The 16,794-nt window shown below is 46.1% G+C and overlaps 1 long non-coding RNA gene across 1 annotated transcript; it reads left to right on the forward strand.

Moving 5' to 3' along the window:
* Window positions 1–1,531: 1,531 nt before the first annotated feature.
* On the forward strand, window positions 1,532–12,166 carry LOC124902747 (uncharacterized). The gene is made up of 2 exons (XR_007062877.1): window positions 1,532–1,572; window positions 11,897–12,166. It is a non-coding gene; the product is annotated as an uncharacterized LOC124902747 (long non-coding RNA).
* The last annotated feature ends 4,628 nt before the right edge of the window (window positions 12,167–16,794 follow it).

Below are 16,794 nucleotides of genomic sequence, written 5' to 3' on the forward strand. Positions count from 1 at the left end.
AACCACCTCCACCTCCCCACCATTGCTGCCCCCTTGCTACCCTTCCAGCCTCTGGTAAACATCCTTCTATTCTCTATCTCCATGACTTCAATTGTTTTGATTTTTAGATCCCGCAAATAAGCGAGAACATGTGATATTTGCCTTTCTGTGTTAAGGCTTCAATTTATAATCACTCATGTAATTTAAAAAATCCAACAGTACCTCTTGCTTTGGCTATAGTTTGATGCAGGGGATGAAATGATGTCACAAGAACCCAGTTTTTTTCCTGGGTTTAAGAGCATTGGGCTGGGCACCGTGGCTCACGCCTGTAATCCCAGCACCTTGGGTGGCCGAGACGGGCGGATCACGAGGTCAGGAGATCAAGACCATCCTGGCTAACACGGTGAAACCCTGTCTCTACTAAAAATACAAAAAAATTAGCTGGGTGTGGTGGCAGGCGCCTGTAGTCCCAGCTACTCGGGAGGCTGAGGCAGGAGAATGGCGTGAACCTGGGAGGCGGAGCTTGCAGTGAGCCGAGATCACGCCACTGCACTCCAGCCTGGGCGACAGAGCAAGACTCTGTGTCAAAAAAAAAAAAAAAAGCAAAAAGCACTGCTTCCTCTAGGTTGGTTCCATTCTCAGGCAGGCTTTCTTCCCACCATGCCAAGGAGGTTGCATTCATTAGCCTCACAACCCTAGACCCAACCACAAAAGAGATTCCCTTTTGCCCCTGCCCCTCCTCCTCCCCCTCCCCCTCCCTCTCCCTCTCCCCACGGTCTCCCTCTCCCTCTCTTTGCAAGGTCTCCCTCTGATACCGAGCCGAAGCTGGACTGTACTGCTGCCATCTCGGCTCACTGCAACCTCCCTGCCTGATTCTCCTGCCTCAGCCTGCCGAGTGCCTGCGATTGCAGGCGCGCGCCGCCACGCCTGACTGGTTTTCGTATTTTTTTGGTGGAGATGGGGTTTTGCTGTGTTGGCCGGGCTGGTCTCCAGCTCCTAACCGCGAGTGATCCACCAGCCTCGGCCTCCCGAGGTGCCGGGATTGCAGACGGAGTCTGGTTCACTCAGTGCTCAATGGCGCCCAGGCTGGAGTGCGTTGGCGTGATCTCGGCTCGCTACAACCTCCACCTCCCAGCCGCCTGCCTTGGCCTCCCTAAGTGCCGGGAGTGCAGCCTCTGCCCGGCCGCCACCCCGTCTGGGAAGTGAGGAGCGTCTCTGCCTGGCCACCCATCGTCTGGGACGTGAGGAGCCCCTCTGCCTGGCTGCCCAGTCTGGAAAGTGAGGAGCGCTTCTTCCCGGCCGCCATCCCATCTAGGAAGTGAGGAGTGCCTCTTCCCGGCCACCATCCCATCTAGGAAGTGAGGAGCGTCTCTGCCCGCCGCCCATTGTCTGAGATGTGGGGAGCGCCTCTGCCCCGCCGCCCCGTCTGGGATGTGAGGAGCGCCTCTGCCCGGCCGCGACCCCGTCTGGGAGGTGAGGAGACCCTCCGCCCGGCAACCGCCCCGTCTGAGAAGTGAGGAGCCCCTCCGCCCGGCAGCCGCCCCGTCTGAGAAGTGAAGAGCCCCTCCGCCCGGCAGCCACCCCGTTTGGGAGGTGAGGAGCGTCTCCGCCCTGCAGCCACCCCGTTCGGGAGGGAGGTGGGGGGGTCAGCCCCCCCCGCCGGCCGGCCGCCCAGTCCGGGAGGGAGGTGGGGTGTCAGCCCCCCGCCCGGCCAGCCGCCCCGTCCGGGAGGTGAGGGGCGCCTCTGCCCGGCCGCCCCTACTGGGAGGTGAGGAGCCCCTCTGCCCGGCCAGCCGCCCAGTCCGGGAGGGAGGTGGGGTGTCAGCCCCCCGCCCGGCCAGCCGCCCCGTCCGGGAGGTGAGGGGCGCCTCTGCCCGGCCACCCCTACTGGGAGGTGAGAAGCCCCTCTGCCCGGCCACCACCCCGTCGGGGAGGTGTGACCAGCAGCTCATTGAGAGCGGGCCATGATGACAATGGCGGTTTTGTGGAATAGAAGGAGGGGAAAGGTGGGGAAAAGATTGAGAAATCAGATGGTTGCCCTGTCTGTGTGGAAAGAAGTAGACATGGGAGACTTTTCATTTTGTTCTGTACTAAGAAAAATTCTTCTGCCTTGGGATCCTGTTGATCTGTGACCTTACCCCCAACCCTGTGCTCTCTGAAACATGTGCTGTGTCCACTCAGGGTTAAATGGATTAAGGGCGGTGCAAGATGTGCTTTGTTAAACAGATGCTTGAAGGCAGCATGCTCGTTAAGAGTCATCACCACTCCCTAATCTCAAGTACCCAGGGACACAAACACTGCGGAAGGCCGCAGGGTCCTCTGCCTAGGAAAACCAGAGACCTTTGTTCACTTGTCTATCTGCTGACCTTCCCTCCACTATTGTCCTATGACCCTGCCAAATCCCCCACTGCGAGAAACACCCAAGAATGATCAATTAAAAAAAAAAAAATTTGAAAACGTTTCAAAGAAAAAAGCTTTTAGAGAAATTAAATTTTACAGAGTTTAAAAAAAAAAAAACAGATTCCCTTTTTTAAGAGTTTTTATAAAAGTCCTGAGATTCACTAAGAATCACTAAGAGGATGTGCACGTCATCCCCTCCTTCCCTGTCTTGCCTGAATGGGGATATGATGGCTGATGTTTAAGCAGCAATTCTGAGGTAAAAGCCACTTGCAGAACAGGGCAGAGCAGCAATATAGCCAGAGTCTAGCAATATAGACAGCTGCTCTATTAGTCCTGGCAGGCTCAATTTTATACTTCTTTTTATATAAAAGAGAAAAAAAATTTCCACCTTGTTTAAGCCACTGTTATTTTTGTTTTTTTTCTGTCACTCACAGCCTAATCTAATCCTGATACATGCCAAGTGCATGTATCAGGATAGACGATGGCATCTTAGGAGCCACATACTGTGTAATAATGTAAGAGCAAACTTTAACAAGTAGAAGATGAAAGAAAGTTTAATGATGACCAAACCATCTTTTACACCATCTTAATCAATTTTATTCTTTAAGCAATATGTGTGTACGTACCAGGGATGGGAGGGTTGAAATATTTTGAGCTAGGAGTTAATGATTAGATTATTTATATGTTAGAAAGATTCTTCGCATGCTTCGATGGATATTTTGGAAGTGGGCAAGACTGGGGAACTGAGTTTGCAACAATTCTAGCAAGAGACGATAAAGTTCAAAATCAGGGCAACAGTGCTGGAGAAGGCAAAAAGGAGACAGATTTGAAAGATATACACGAGGTAGAATTGGCCAAAATGTGGCCAGTCTGAACGACTTCTGAAGTGACAGAGGCAGATAGATCCTATTATAAGAATACAACAGCTGATATTAGAAGTAGCATTCCAGAGAGATGATTTTTTTTAAATGCAGATATCTATGCTGTAGAATTTTTTATTCACTATTTTCATATACAGTTCTCACAAAAGTTCTGAGAGTCACATGCATGTTATGTCTGAATGAATGGGCATAGTTTATTGGAGTGTAGATATATTTAAATCACTATTACATGTCAGTTATCATTTGGATCAGTTCTTCCTCTTGTAGCAAGAAAGATAGCTTCAATCTACTGCCTCAGGCATGCAACTGAACTGTAACTTTATCTTTCTACAACTCAACTGTCTTTACCTAGAGCCTCCATTCCACTTGATGATAAGTGGTTATAGTTATTTAAGACATTTCGCTATTTAAGACATTTTTTCCAGTCATTATAGATTTAAACTCTGTCAATTCAAGATATTTTTTCCCTCTTTCCAAATTCAGGTCATTTAAACACCTGGATGTTTGTATGAGCTCATTGTGTAGCTGCACCAGACCAATCTGGTTCAACCACTTGTTTTTGTTTTGTTTTGTTTTGTTTTGTTTTGAGACAGCGTTTTGCTCTTGTTGTCCAGGCTGGAGTGCAATGGCACAATCTCGGCTCACTGTAGCCTCTGACTCCCAGGTTCAAGCAATTCTCCTGCCTCGGCCTCCCGACTAGCTGGGATTACAGGCGCCCACCACCATCCTCTGCTAATTGTATTTTTTGTATTTTTAGTAGAGACAGGGTTTCATCATGTTGGCCAGTCTAGTCTCAAACTCCTGGTCTCAGGTAATCCACCCACCTTGGCCTCCCAAAGTGCTGGGATTACAGGCATGAGCCACTGTGCCCTGCCCTTTTTTTAAAGTATTATTATTATTTTTTGAGACAGTCTCACTCTGTCACCCAGGCTGGAATGCAGTGGCAGGATCTCGGCTCACAGCAGCCTCTGCCTCCTGGGTTCAACTGATTCTCCCACCTCAGACCCCCAAGTAGGTGGGACCTCAGGAACCCACACCACAGCTGGCTAATTTTTTGTATTTTTAGTAGAGACAGGGTTTCTCCATGTTGCCCAGGCTGGTCTCCAACTCCTGGGCTCAAGGAATCCGCCCGCCTCAACCTCCCGAAGTTCTGGGATTACAGGTGTTAGCCACCCTGCCAGGTCTGGTTCAAAGTTGTGGTTGTTTTTCAGTTGCCGTGGACCCTCACATCACTATAACCTGAGCATGCCCAGATGAACAAAGCATGCAACCACATGGAGAACCTAAGTGCTCAGACCAAGGAGCAGGGACTGAATTAAGAATTGGAAACCACATGGCAGGATCCAATCAGATCAAGCCCTGGTGTCACCCTATGGCAGGATCTAGTCAGTTAATGCCTCCCAGCATCACCTTATTGCCAGATTCAGTCAGATCCCACATCCTTACCTTATGCCTGTAAAACCTGTCCCAGCCCCCAGCCTGGAGAGGCACTGCTTTGGGAGCTATCCCCAGTGTTTTCCTTACTTGTTGCAAGTAAGAAAATCCCCTTGCTCAATCCTCCTTGGTTGTGGTCATTGGGCTATCACTCGCCAAGCATCCAAACTCACCTATTGTGGGGGTAACAACTGGATTGGAGATAGGGAGTGAAATTGACCATTTTTTTTTTTAAGGGAAGGTCTTATTATGATGCCCAGGTTGGTCTCAAGCTGTCCTCCCTCCTTGGCCTCTCAAAGTGCTGGGATTACAGGCATGACCCACCATGCCCATCCTGGGTCTTATGTTTTAAGTATAGAGGAGTATATAGAGAAAATACTACCACCTAGATGCCCCTCACTGCAAATACGACAAAATAAAATAATGGCTACACAAGTTAGAAAATTATTATTACATTTTTAAAATGTAAATTGACTTCTGATTCACTTTACCCCTTCTGATTCACTTCTGATAGCCTGTCCTATTCAGAAAATAATTGTGAAGGCATAAATGGTGATATTTTAAAGTATTAAGAATGGCATGGCCAGGCATGGATTCTTATAGGAACCACGCTATAGGATTATAGGGTGGTTCACACCTATAATCCCAGCACTTTGGGAGGCCGAGGTGATACAGGAGGGGGCAGGGAAGTGCTGGGTAGAGAAAGGCGGGGTCCCTGGCAAGGGCTCCACCCTGGGGCCTGTGCCTACAGACCTAACTGAGAACAGGTACTCCTGTTTCCATGCCCAGATATTGAATTTTCCAAGACCACTCTGGCCCACCATGCCCCTCATCCTGTGCCCATAAAAACCCAAGACCATAGCAGGCACACACACAAGGGGCTGGATGTCGAGAGGAGCAGAAGAGCAGAAGAACACACCAACAGACACCAGCAGACACTGACAGGCCATCGACAACAGGACAACGTGGAATTCTGTCAGGGGTGGTTCTTGAAGAGCCCAGCCGCTAGGTGGCGCAACTCCAGGGGAAGACCACCTTCCCACTCCATCCTCCTTCTGGCTCCACATCCATCTCACTGAGAGCTACTTCCCCCACTCAATAAAACCTTGCACCCATCCTCCAAGCCCACATGTGATCCGATTTTTCCAGTACACTAGGGCAAGAAGCCGGGATACAGAAAGCCCTTGTGATAAGACAGAGAGTCTAATTGAGCTGCTTAACACAAGCCACCTGCAGAGAGCAAAACTGCAAGAGCACACTGTAACACAGGCCCACTGGGGCTTCGAGAGCTGTAAACACTTAACCCTAGATGCTGCTGTGGGGTCGGAGCCCAAAAACACTCCCCAGTACCTGCATCCTCTACATGCTCCCCCTAGAGGTTTGAGCAGCCGAGGACTGAAGAAGCGAGCCACATCCCTGTTGCATGCCCTGTGAGGGGGATAAGGGAACTCCTCCAGTTTCAGAGGCAGGCGGATCGCTCGAGCCCAGGAATTTGAGACTAGCCTGGGCAACATGGTGACATCCTGTCTGTATCAAAAATACAAAAAAATTAGCCAGGCATGGTGGTGTGTACTTGTGATCCCAGCTACTCAGGAGGCTGAGGTGGGAGAATCATCAGAGCCTGGGGAGGTCGAGGCTGCAGTGAGCCATGATCTCACCACTGCACTCTAGCCTGTGCCACAGAGTGAGACCCCGTCTCAAAACAACAACAACAACAACAACAAAGAATGGCATGAACATATATTCCAACATCATGACATCTAATTTTATGAAATTACATATCAGTTCACTCTATCCATAAACTCTGGAAAATTTTCCTTCTCAAGCCATCCCATTACATAGATGAGACTAGCTTATCAGTTCAAATCACAACTTTGGTTCCAGTTTAGTCAGCCCCGGATTGTGAGAATAGAGGGATTAAGGATAGTGAGGATATTAATCACTCCGTATGGACCCTCAATAGTCTAGCTCATGATTCTCAGGTAGAGCCACTAGGAAAATATCCAGTTCTGACATCAAATATATTATCAAAAGTAACCATTCATAGAAAAAAAGTTATAAAACATTCAGTTCATAAACAGTGTACAAAATTGTAGCTGATAACACCCATTCTTCACTTTCCATAAATCAGACGTTTTCATTTTATTTTATTTTATTTTATTTTTTGGGTGCGGGGACAGAGTCTTTCTCTGTCACCCAGGCTGGAGTGCAGTGGCACAATCTCGGCTCACTGCAAACTCTGCCTTCTGGGTTCAAGTGAGTTTTGTGCCTCAGCCTCCCAAGTAGCTGGGACTATAGGTGCACACAACCAGGCACAGCTAATTTTTGTATTTTTAGCAAAGGTTTGGTTTTGTCATGTTGGCCAGGCTGGTCTTGAACTTCTGGCTTCAAATGATCCACCTGCCTCAGCCTCCTAAAGTGCTGGGATTACAGGCCTAAGCCACCGCACCCCAACCTAAATTTTTTTTCTTTAATTCTCATCCAAAATCTTCAATCTTCATGTCCAAAATAAAATATTATTATCTTTTTTATTTAAAGGTCAGTTATCCTGATTTTGTCTTCTAGAAGGAAACTTATGGATACTTTAAATTTATTTTCAACAAATATTTATTGTCTACTATATTTCAGATGGATACATTTGTGAATAAAACAAACCAAAATAAAAATTAGACTCATGGAGCTCACAGTATCTTGGTGGAGGCAGATAGTGAACAAAATTAATAAGTAAAATACGTATTACATTACATGATGACAAGTGCTAAGGACAAAAATAAAGCATAGAAGGGCATGAAGGTGCAATTTTTTTTTTTTTTTTGAGACGGAGTTTCACTCTTGTTGCCCAGGCTGGAATGCAGTGACGCCATCTCGGCTCACTGCAACCTCTACCTCCCAGGTTCAAGCAATTCTCCTGCCTCAGCCTCTGAATTAGCTGGGATTACAGGTGCATGCCACCACACCCAGCTAATTTTGTATTTTTAGTATAGACGGGGTTTCCCTACGTTGGCCAGGCTGGTCTTGAACTCCTGACCTTAGATGACCCGCCCACCTGGGCCTCCCAAAGTTCTGGGATTACAGGCATGAGCCACCATGCTCGGCCATAAAGGTGCAATTTTACATAGAGTAGGAAGGGAAGGCTTCATGAAGATATTTGAGTGCAGGGTGAATGAGGTAAGGGAGCAAGCCATGTGAAGATGAAGGGGAGGAGCTGCTCCAGAGGGAACAGCAACTGCAAAGGCTCAGAGGTGGCAGCCTTCCTAGATGCTTGAGGACTATCAAGGAAGCCAGTATGGTTATTGAGGAGACACTAAAGGGAAGGTAGAAGATGAGACTCAAGAGGTAATGAGTGTCAGCAATCACAGAGCACATGGAGAATTTCGGAACATTTTAAGGGAATCTCAGAACCAGAAGATGCATTCGAGATCATCTAGCTCACTGGGTTTTGACATTTGTTTACTTTGATCCAAAATAAATACATTTTATTTCTTGACGTGGCACACACATGTGTACATACATACACACACGTTCACACATACACACATAGTAATGAAACAAAAATTTTATGAAACAGGCCAGGTGCAGTGGCTTATGCTTGTAATCCCAGCACTTTGAGAGGCTGAGTCAGGAGAATTGCTTGAAGCCAGGAGTTGAGACAAGACTGCATACAAAGGGAGACCCTGTCTCTACAAAAAATAATAATAAGCCAGGCTCAGCAGCATGCATCTATAGTCCCAGCTACTTGGGAGGTTGAGGTGGGAAGAGCACTTGAACCCAGGAGTTCAAGGCTGCAGTGAGCTGTGATCACGCCACTGCACTCCTGCCTGGGCAACAGACAAAGGCTCTGTCTCAAACAAACAAACAAAATCTATGAAACATATTTATCATGATGTATGATACACCCTGACATTTTGTTTTGAATTCTGGTGGTTACTTACCAAATTGACTTTACAATTCCCCTCTGTTATTTTTGGTTTTTTGTTTGATTTTGTGGGCTTTCTTTCTTTCTTTTTGCAGAATTTTGCTCTTGTTGCCCAGGCTGGAGTGCAATGGCGCGATCTTGGCTCACCACAACCTCTGCCTCCCGGGTTCAAGCGATTCTCCTGCCTCAGCCTCCCAAGTAGCTGGGATTACAGGCGCACACCACCACGGCTGGCTAATTTTGTATTTTGGGGGCTTCCTTTAGCTTTCAGAAAGCATAGCAGAAATAAACAACCCTCATTTTGAAAAACACTCAACTCTTTCAGTTGTAGCTCAATCTTTTTAGTTTCCAGATGAGGAAACAGAGACCCAGAGAGAGCAAGTGATTTGTCAAAATTTTCCCAAAGGTAGTAGCAATGCTGGGACAAGAACCCAGGTCTCCCGACTTCTGGTCCAGGGCTTTGTACAGCAAAAAGAAGCCAGATCCTCCTCTCCAGCACTTCTCATGCTTCATTTTAGTTTTTGAGTTTTTATTTGTTTGTTTGGTTTTGTTTTTGTCTTTTGTTTTTTGTTTTTTTTTTGTTTGTTTTTTTTTTGAGACAGAGTCTCACTCTGTCTCTCAGGCTGGAGCATAGTGTCGCGATCTCGGCTCACTGCAACCTCCGCCTCCTGGCTTCAAGCAATTCTCCTGCCTCAGCCTCTGGAGTAGCTGGGACTACAGGTACGTGCCACGACACCCGGCTAATTTTTTTGGATTTTTAGTAGAGACGGGATTTCACCGTGTTAGCCAGGGTGGTCTCGATCTCCTGACCTCGTGATCTGCCCACCTTGGCCTCCCAAAGTGCTGGGATTATAGGCGTGAGCCACCTGCCCGGCCTGGGGTTTTCGTTTGTTTGTTTTTATTTTTTTGTCTATTTTGTTTTTGTTTTTGTCTTTGAAACAGGATCTTGTCCTGTCACTCAGGTTGGAGTGCAGTTGTACAATCATGGCTCACTACAATCTCAGTCTCCCAGGCTCAAGTGATCATCTGCCTCAGCCTCCAGAGTAGTAGGAACTATGGGCTTGCACTACCATGCCTGGCTAATTTTTTTTTAAGGTTTTTTTTTTTTTTTTGAGACAGAGTCTTGCTCTGCCACTCAGGCTGGAGTGCAGTGGAATAATCTTGGCTCACTGCAACCTCTGCCTCCTGGGTTCAAGCAATTCTCATGCCTCAGCCTCCCAAGTGGCTGGGATTGCAGGTGCCTGCCACCACACCCAGCTAATTTTTGTATTTTGGGTAGAGACAGGGTTTCACCCTGTTGACCAGGCTGGTCTTGAACTCCTGATCTCAAGTGATCCACCCACCTTGGCCTCCCAAAGTGCTGAGATTATAGGCGTGAGCCACTGCGCCCAGCCTTTTTTAGGTTTTTATGGAGACGAGGTCTCACTTTGTTGCCCAGGCTGGTCTCAAACTCCTGTGCTCAAGCAATCCTCCTGCCTTGGCCCACCAGAGTGTTGGGATTACAAGCATGAGCCACCACACCCAGCCATTTTCACTTCTTAAAAAAACATATTAAAGCAGAATTTCCTGAGTAATAGCTTAACTAGCTTTCTTAAATGTGCTCTACTTGCCTTATTTTTTAAGCTTAAACTTTTATAAACACAAATATAACATAATATTTTTAATTAAAATATTAAATTATTTATACCCAGCATGCATAATACAAATATACTTAAAACTGAATTCTTCCATGGATTATTCAAAGGCACATTTTCATAATCATAACATTAATCAAATGAGTCATCATAAATCTCATGAGGTTGTGTGCAGACGGCACATATAAAAGTTCAAGGTCATACACAACTATGGTTAACATACTTCATTTCAACTCAATGGGCATTTAAATAACATCTACTGGCCAGGCGTGGTGGCTCATGCCTATAATCCCAACACTTTGGGAAGCCAAGGTGCGAGGATCACTTGAGGCCAGGCATTTGAGACCAGCCTGGGCAACATAGGAGACCCTATCCCTACAAAAAATTTTTTTTAATTAGCTAGGCATGGTGGTGCGCACATATGGTCCCAGCTACTCAGGAGGCTGAGATGTAAGGATTGCTTGAACCCAAGAAGTTGAGGTTGGACTGAGCCATGATTGTGCCACTGCGCTCCAGCCTGGGAGACAAAGTGAGATCCTGTCTCAAAAAAATAAAAAATTTTAAAAAAGGAACATCTACTATGTGCTAATTGTGCATGTTGGGAAAATAACTATCAATTAATAAGTCCTTCTGGACTTCAGGAACTTACAATCTAGTAAGAGAGATAGTCAAGCCAATAGCCATAATTCAATATGAGAAGATATATGAGATATATATGAGAAGATGTATATATGATATCTCAGATATCAGAGAAGTACAGAGTACTCGTTCCTTAACTACTATAGGAACACAGATGAGGGTTAAGTTAATTTTCCTTAGGGTTAGAGATGGTTCAGAAAGACTAAAAAGAGGAGAAAATATTTGTTCTGGGCCTTAAAAGATGAGTAGAAATTTGCTGACCAGGTGAATAGTGAAACAGGTATAAGGAGAGGAGAGAATAGTATGAATAAAAAGAAAAAGTATAGCATGAAAAGCATGTCACATAGAAGAATCATCTGACTAGACTGTGGATGCCCTCTTATGTGGATGCCCTCTTATGGGTCAGACATGACATGACTAGGTATTTAGACTTTATTCTAGAGCAAATGAGGAATCATCAAAGATCTTTAATAAAGTAATTCTGGAAGCAAAGTAGAAACTAAACATGAGGCTGTTATGGGTTGAATTGAGTCCCCTAAAAAAGATATGTTGAAGTCCTAGGCCCCAGTACCTCAGAATGTGACCTTATTTGGGGCCGGGCACAGTGGCTCACGCCTGTAATCCCAGCACTTTTGGAGGCCGAGGCGGGCAGATCACTTGAGGTCAGAAGTTTGATATCAGCCTGGCCAACATGGCAAAACCCCATCTCTACAAAAATACAAAAATTAGCTGGGGGTGGTGGTGCCTGCCTGTAATTCCAGCTACTGGGGAGGCTGAGACAGGAGAATCACTTGGACCTGGGAGGCAGAGGTTGCAGTGAGCTGAGATCATGCCACTGCATTCCAACCTGGGGTGCCTGGGTGACAGAGTGAGACCCTGTCTCAAAAAAAAAAAAAAAAAAAAAAGAGAATGTGACCTTATTTGGAAACAGTCTTCACAGATGAAGTCAAGTAGTTAAGATAAGGTTATTAGGGTGGGCCATAATCCAATATAATTGATGTCCTTATAAAAAGGGGACATTTGGACACAGACACAGACATGCTCAGAGGGAAGACTGCATGAAGAGACTAGGAAAATGCCATTTGGAGGTAGAGGATTGAGTGATACATCTACAAGCCAAGTGTTGCCAAGATTGCCAGCAAACCACCAGAAGCCAGGCAAGGGGCATGGAACAGATATCCTCCTTCACAGCCCTCACAAAGAACCAACCCCACTGACACCTGGATTTTGGACATCTAGCCTCCCAAACTGTGAGACAATAAATGTCTGCTATTTTAAGCTGCTCTGTTTGTGGCTTTGTTATATACTTTGTTATGGGAGCCCTAGGAACTAACATAGAGGCTACTAAACAGTGCAGTCTAAAGCGATGAGAGATTGAACAAAAACACTGACAGTGGGGAGTTGAGAAAAAGTCACAAATATGAAAAATATCACTGAGGTAAAAGCAGCAATGTTTAGTGATTGGCTGAATACGGCAAAGGAGAAAAAGGAGTCCAAGATGGATGAAGCTCTTATTCTACCTTAATCCATCAATGTGGTGTCAAAACTATCTTGGTGTCCTCATTAGATTGTTCTTGAGGCCAGGGACCTTATAAAAATTCCCATGCCTTTTCCCCTGGCTAAATTTAAAACTTTCTTTGGACTGGAGTCCTCAGTTTTCATTCTATTGGCTTATAACTTCCTTCTCCTTCCCCTTCCCCTCGTCCTCCTCCTCCTCTTCCTCCTCCTCCTCCTCCTCCTCCTTCTTCTTCTTCTTCTTCTTCCTCTTCTTCTTCTTCCTCCTCTTCCTCCTCTTCCTCCTCCTCTTCTTCTTCTTCTTCTTCTTTCTTCTTCTTCTTCTTCTTCTACTTCCACTTCCTCTTCTTCCTCTTCTTCTTTTTTTCTTCTTCTTTTTTAATAGAGATTGAGGTCTCACTATGTTGCCTAGGCTGGTCTTGAACTCCTGGGCTCAAGTGATCTTCCTACCTCAGCCTCTGAAAGTTCTAAGATTACAGGCACGAGCCACCACACCTGGCCATTATAGCTATATTCCGCTCCTTCTACCCAGTCCCTTTAAGAGGTTTCAGTTGACCTGCCAGCTTTCCATTCCGTTTTATTAGTTTTGCCTTGGATGCTGTCTATGAAATTATCTTTAGCTCTACACTCATCCACCTTTATTCCATTCCATCTCTCTGCTATACACAACAAAAACCCCCACCCTCCAGCTCAGATTCAGTACAAGCCCTCACTTGTCTAGGGAGCTAGCATAGATACTAAAAGCCATTAACCAACCTATAAAATATAGCAAAAGAAGACATGGCAAGAAAGCTACTAAGTTCATTTTCTGACATTCTAGAAAATAAATTTTTGATCCAAAGAGAAGCCATTGATCCACCCTTTCTCTAGGACTGCAAATATTCCATATATCCCATCAAAATAGATTGACCTACTGCATATGCCTGTCCCACTGTATCTCTTTGGTACAAACACCTGTTCCAAACTGAGACAACTAGGTTGTCTTTACAGAGAAGTGAAAATAAGTGTCTGTGTGTGTCTAGATACCTAACAGGAAACTGCAGCAGCTAGTCTTCCACATGGACTAAGCAGCAGAGAAAGTGGGCCTGCAGAAAGTCAAGAATTAGCAGATGTCAGAAGGAAGTGGAGATGAAAGAGACAGAGAGACATTCTCCCTTGCAGCTTTCTCTTTTTTTTTTTTGAGACAGTCTTGCTCTGTCACTCAGGGTGGAGTGCAGTGGCACGATCTCCGCTCACTGCAACCTCTGCCACCCGGGTTCAAGCAATTCTCCTGTCTCAGCCTCCCAAGTAGCTGGGACTACAGGAGCATGCCACTGCACCCAGCTTATTTTTGTATTTTTAGTAGAGGCAGGGATTCACCATATTGGTCAGGCTGGTCTCGAACTCCTGACCTCAGGTGATCCACCTGTCTTGGCCTCCCAAAGTGCTGGGACTAGAGACGTGAGCCACTGCGCCCGGCAGCAGCTTTCTCTTTCCCAGTTCAAATACCTTTCTGATGCCAACATCATTCCTGCCTGCGGATTCTGTAAAAACACTCTATATCTTTAGAATAAGTGCTCTCATCTTTTAATATCACCCTAACTGAAGTTTTTTTCAAAGAATCCTAACCAACACAGATACGTAGAGTCTGAAATGCATATCCAATATCTAAGAGAAGTAGTTGGAAATGCGGGTCCTGAATACAGAGCAGAGATTGGGGGAAGACATTTGATATGGGTAAGGGGGTAACTGAAGTCACTGGAGTACATGAGGTTGCCAGAAAAAGCCCAAAGTGAAGGTAAAAGTGGGGAGAGGGAAAAGAGATGAAGGAAGGATCTCTTAAGATCTTCAGTATTGAAGAAATGAATCATAGAAAGAGGAGTCATTGAAGAAGGTTAAAAAGAACAGAAAATTAGGAGAGAATGCTTTTGTGGAAGCCAAGGAATAAGGGTGTTCAGGTTGTGCTTACAGAAAATTCAGTCATGGCCAGGTGCAGTGGCTCATGCCTGTAATCCCAGCACTTTGGGAGGCCAAGGGGGGTGGATCACTTGAGGTCAGGAGTTCGAGATCAGTCTAGCCAACATGGTGAAACCTTGTCTCTACTAAAAATACAAAGATTAGCTGGGTGTGGTGGCCCACGCCTGTAGTCCCAGCTACTCAGGAGGCTGAGACAGGAGAATCGCTTGAACCCAGGAGGCGGAGGCTGCAGTGAGCCAAGATCGCGACAGAGCAAGATTCCGTCTCAAAAAAAAAAAAAAAAAAAGGAGAATGACAACTAAAACTAGATGACACTGCAGTGGGGTGGTGGTGAGGATGGTGGGGGTGGGGGCTTGGATTTAATAATTAGGATGTCCCTGACAGCCTTATCAAAAGCAGTGGTATATTAGGCACAGAGAGTATGTTAGGGGTATATAAGCCTCCTTGAAGACTAACTGGTAGATGAGAAATGATAATAGATCATCATTTCTGATATTTGAAAAGGAGAATGATGGAGGAGTCAACAATCTGAAGGGGAAGCGTAATGAAGAGGTGTTTTGCTTAGTTTTAGAATTGTAGATAATTGAGCATGTTTATAGGCTGAGGAGCAGAAGCCACTGGAGAAGGGGAGATTCAAGGTATAAAAGGTATGAAATAAAAGTCAACTGTTGGGAAAAGCCCCAAAAAGATAAGTGAAAGGGGATTAAACACAGCCAACACCAATTCCTCCAAAACAGCAAAGGAAATAGGGATGAATATCGATATAAGAATTTGGGATGTGCACAAGAAAAAAGTGGAATTGTTGAAAATTTTGTTTTGGTAAACACACACTTTTTTTTTTGAGACGGAGTTTTGCTCTCGTTGCCCAGGCTGGAGTGCAATGGCACAATCTCGGCTCACTGCAGCCTCCACTTCCCGGGTTCAAGCGATTATCCTGCCTCAGCCTCCCAAGTACCTGGGGTTACAGGCATGTGCCACCATGCTTGGCTAATTTTTGTAGCTTTTTTTTTTTTTTTTTTTTTTTGAGACGAGGAGTCTTGCTTTGTCGTCCAGGCTGGAGTGCAGTGGCACCATCTCAGCTCACTGCAACTTCTGCCCCCCAGGTTCAAGCGATTCTCCTGCCTCAGCCTCCCGAGTAGCTGGGATTACAGGCGCCTGCCACCGTGCGTGGCTAATTTTTGTATTTTTAGTAGAGAGGAGGTTTCATCATCTTGGCCAGGCTGGTCTTGAACTCCTGACCTTGTGATCCACACACCTCGGCCTCCCAAAGTGCTGGGATTACAGGCATGAACTACTGCACCCGGCCATTTTTGTAGTTTTAATAAAGACGAAGTTTCGCCATGTTGGCCAGGCTGGTCTCGAACTCCTGACCTCAGGCGATCTGCCCGCCTCGTCCTCCCAAAGTGCTGGGATTACAGGCGTGAGCCACTGCGACCGGCCTAAACACACACTTTTATTTATTTATTTATTTTCTTTGAGATGGAGTTTCGCTCTTGTTGCCCAGGCTGGAGTGCAATGGCACGATCTCAGCTCATCACAACCTCTGCCTCCCGGGTTCAAGCAATTCTCCTGCCTCAGCCTCCCGAGTGGCTGAGATTACAGGCATGCACCACTACGCCCGGCTAATTTTGTATTTTTAGTAGAGACGGGGTTTCTCCATGTTGAGGCTGGTCTCGAACTCCTGACTCAGGTGATCCACCCGCCTCAGCCTCCCAAAGTGCTGGGATTACAGGCGTGAGCCACCGCGCCCGGCCTAACACACACTTTTAAACTGTTTCACTTTTTAAAGATAAACCTTGACGTCACTATTACTCAATTTGAGGAAAGGCACAAGAAAGTAGTAAGATCTCACCAGAATTTAAGTTCTGCTTTGTTTACTTACATCATTAATCAGACATGAGCTAAGAGACCACCTGTTCGCTTTTTTCTGACTTAAACAATGGAGACCAAGGAGAGCTGAAAATTTCATGAGCTTCTCAACATTTCCCCGGCTTTTTTTTTTTTTTTTTTTTTTGCCACTGTCCCCAGGGTTGGAGGGCCCCAGAGGGTATGGGGATGATACTTGGCGTTTCTCACTCTTCTGTGGTACTCATAGCAGTGAAGAACAGACAGTGGCAGCACGCAGCAACAGCCAGAGCCCTTGCTAGAAGCACCCAGAACTGGCTGTGCAAATTTATTTCAATCCTGCCCAAAACTCCTTCACCTTAAAATGCCTTGGAGGTGGCTCTCATCAAGACAAGAAAGCAGGGTGTGGTGGCTCACACCTGTAATCCCAGCACTGGGAGGCTGAGCCTGGAGGATCACTTGAGGTCAGGAGTTCGAGACCAGCCTGGGCAACACAGCAAGACCCCATCTCTACAAAAAGTTAGAAAATTAGCGGGATGTGGTGGCCCCCGCCTGTAGTCCCAGCTACTCAGGAGGCTGAGGTGGATGGATCGCT

Source organism: Homo sapiens, chromosome 11, assembly GCF_000001405.40.
Source record: "Homo sapiens chromosome 11, GRCh38.p14 Primary Assembly".
Classification (NCBI taxonomy): Eukaryota; Metazoa; Chordata; class Mammalia; order Primates; family Hominidae; genus Homo; species Homo sapiens.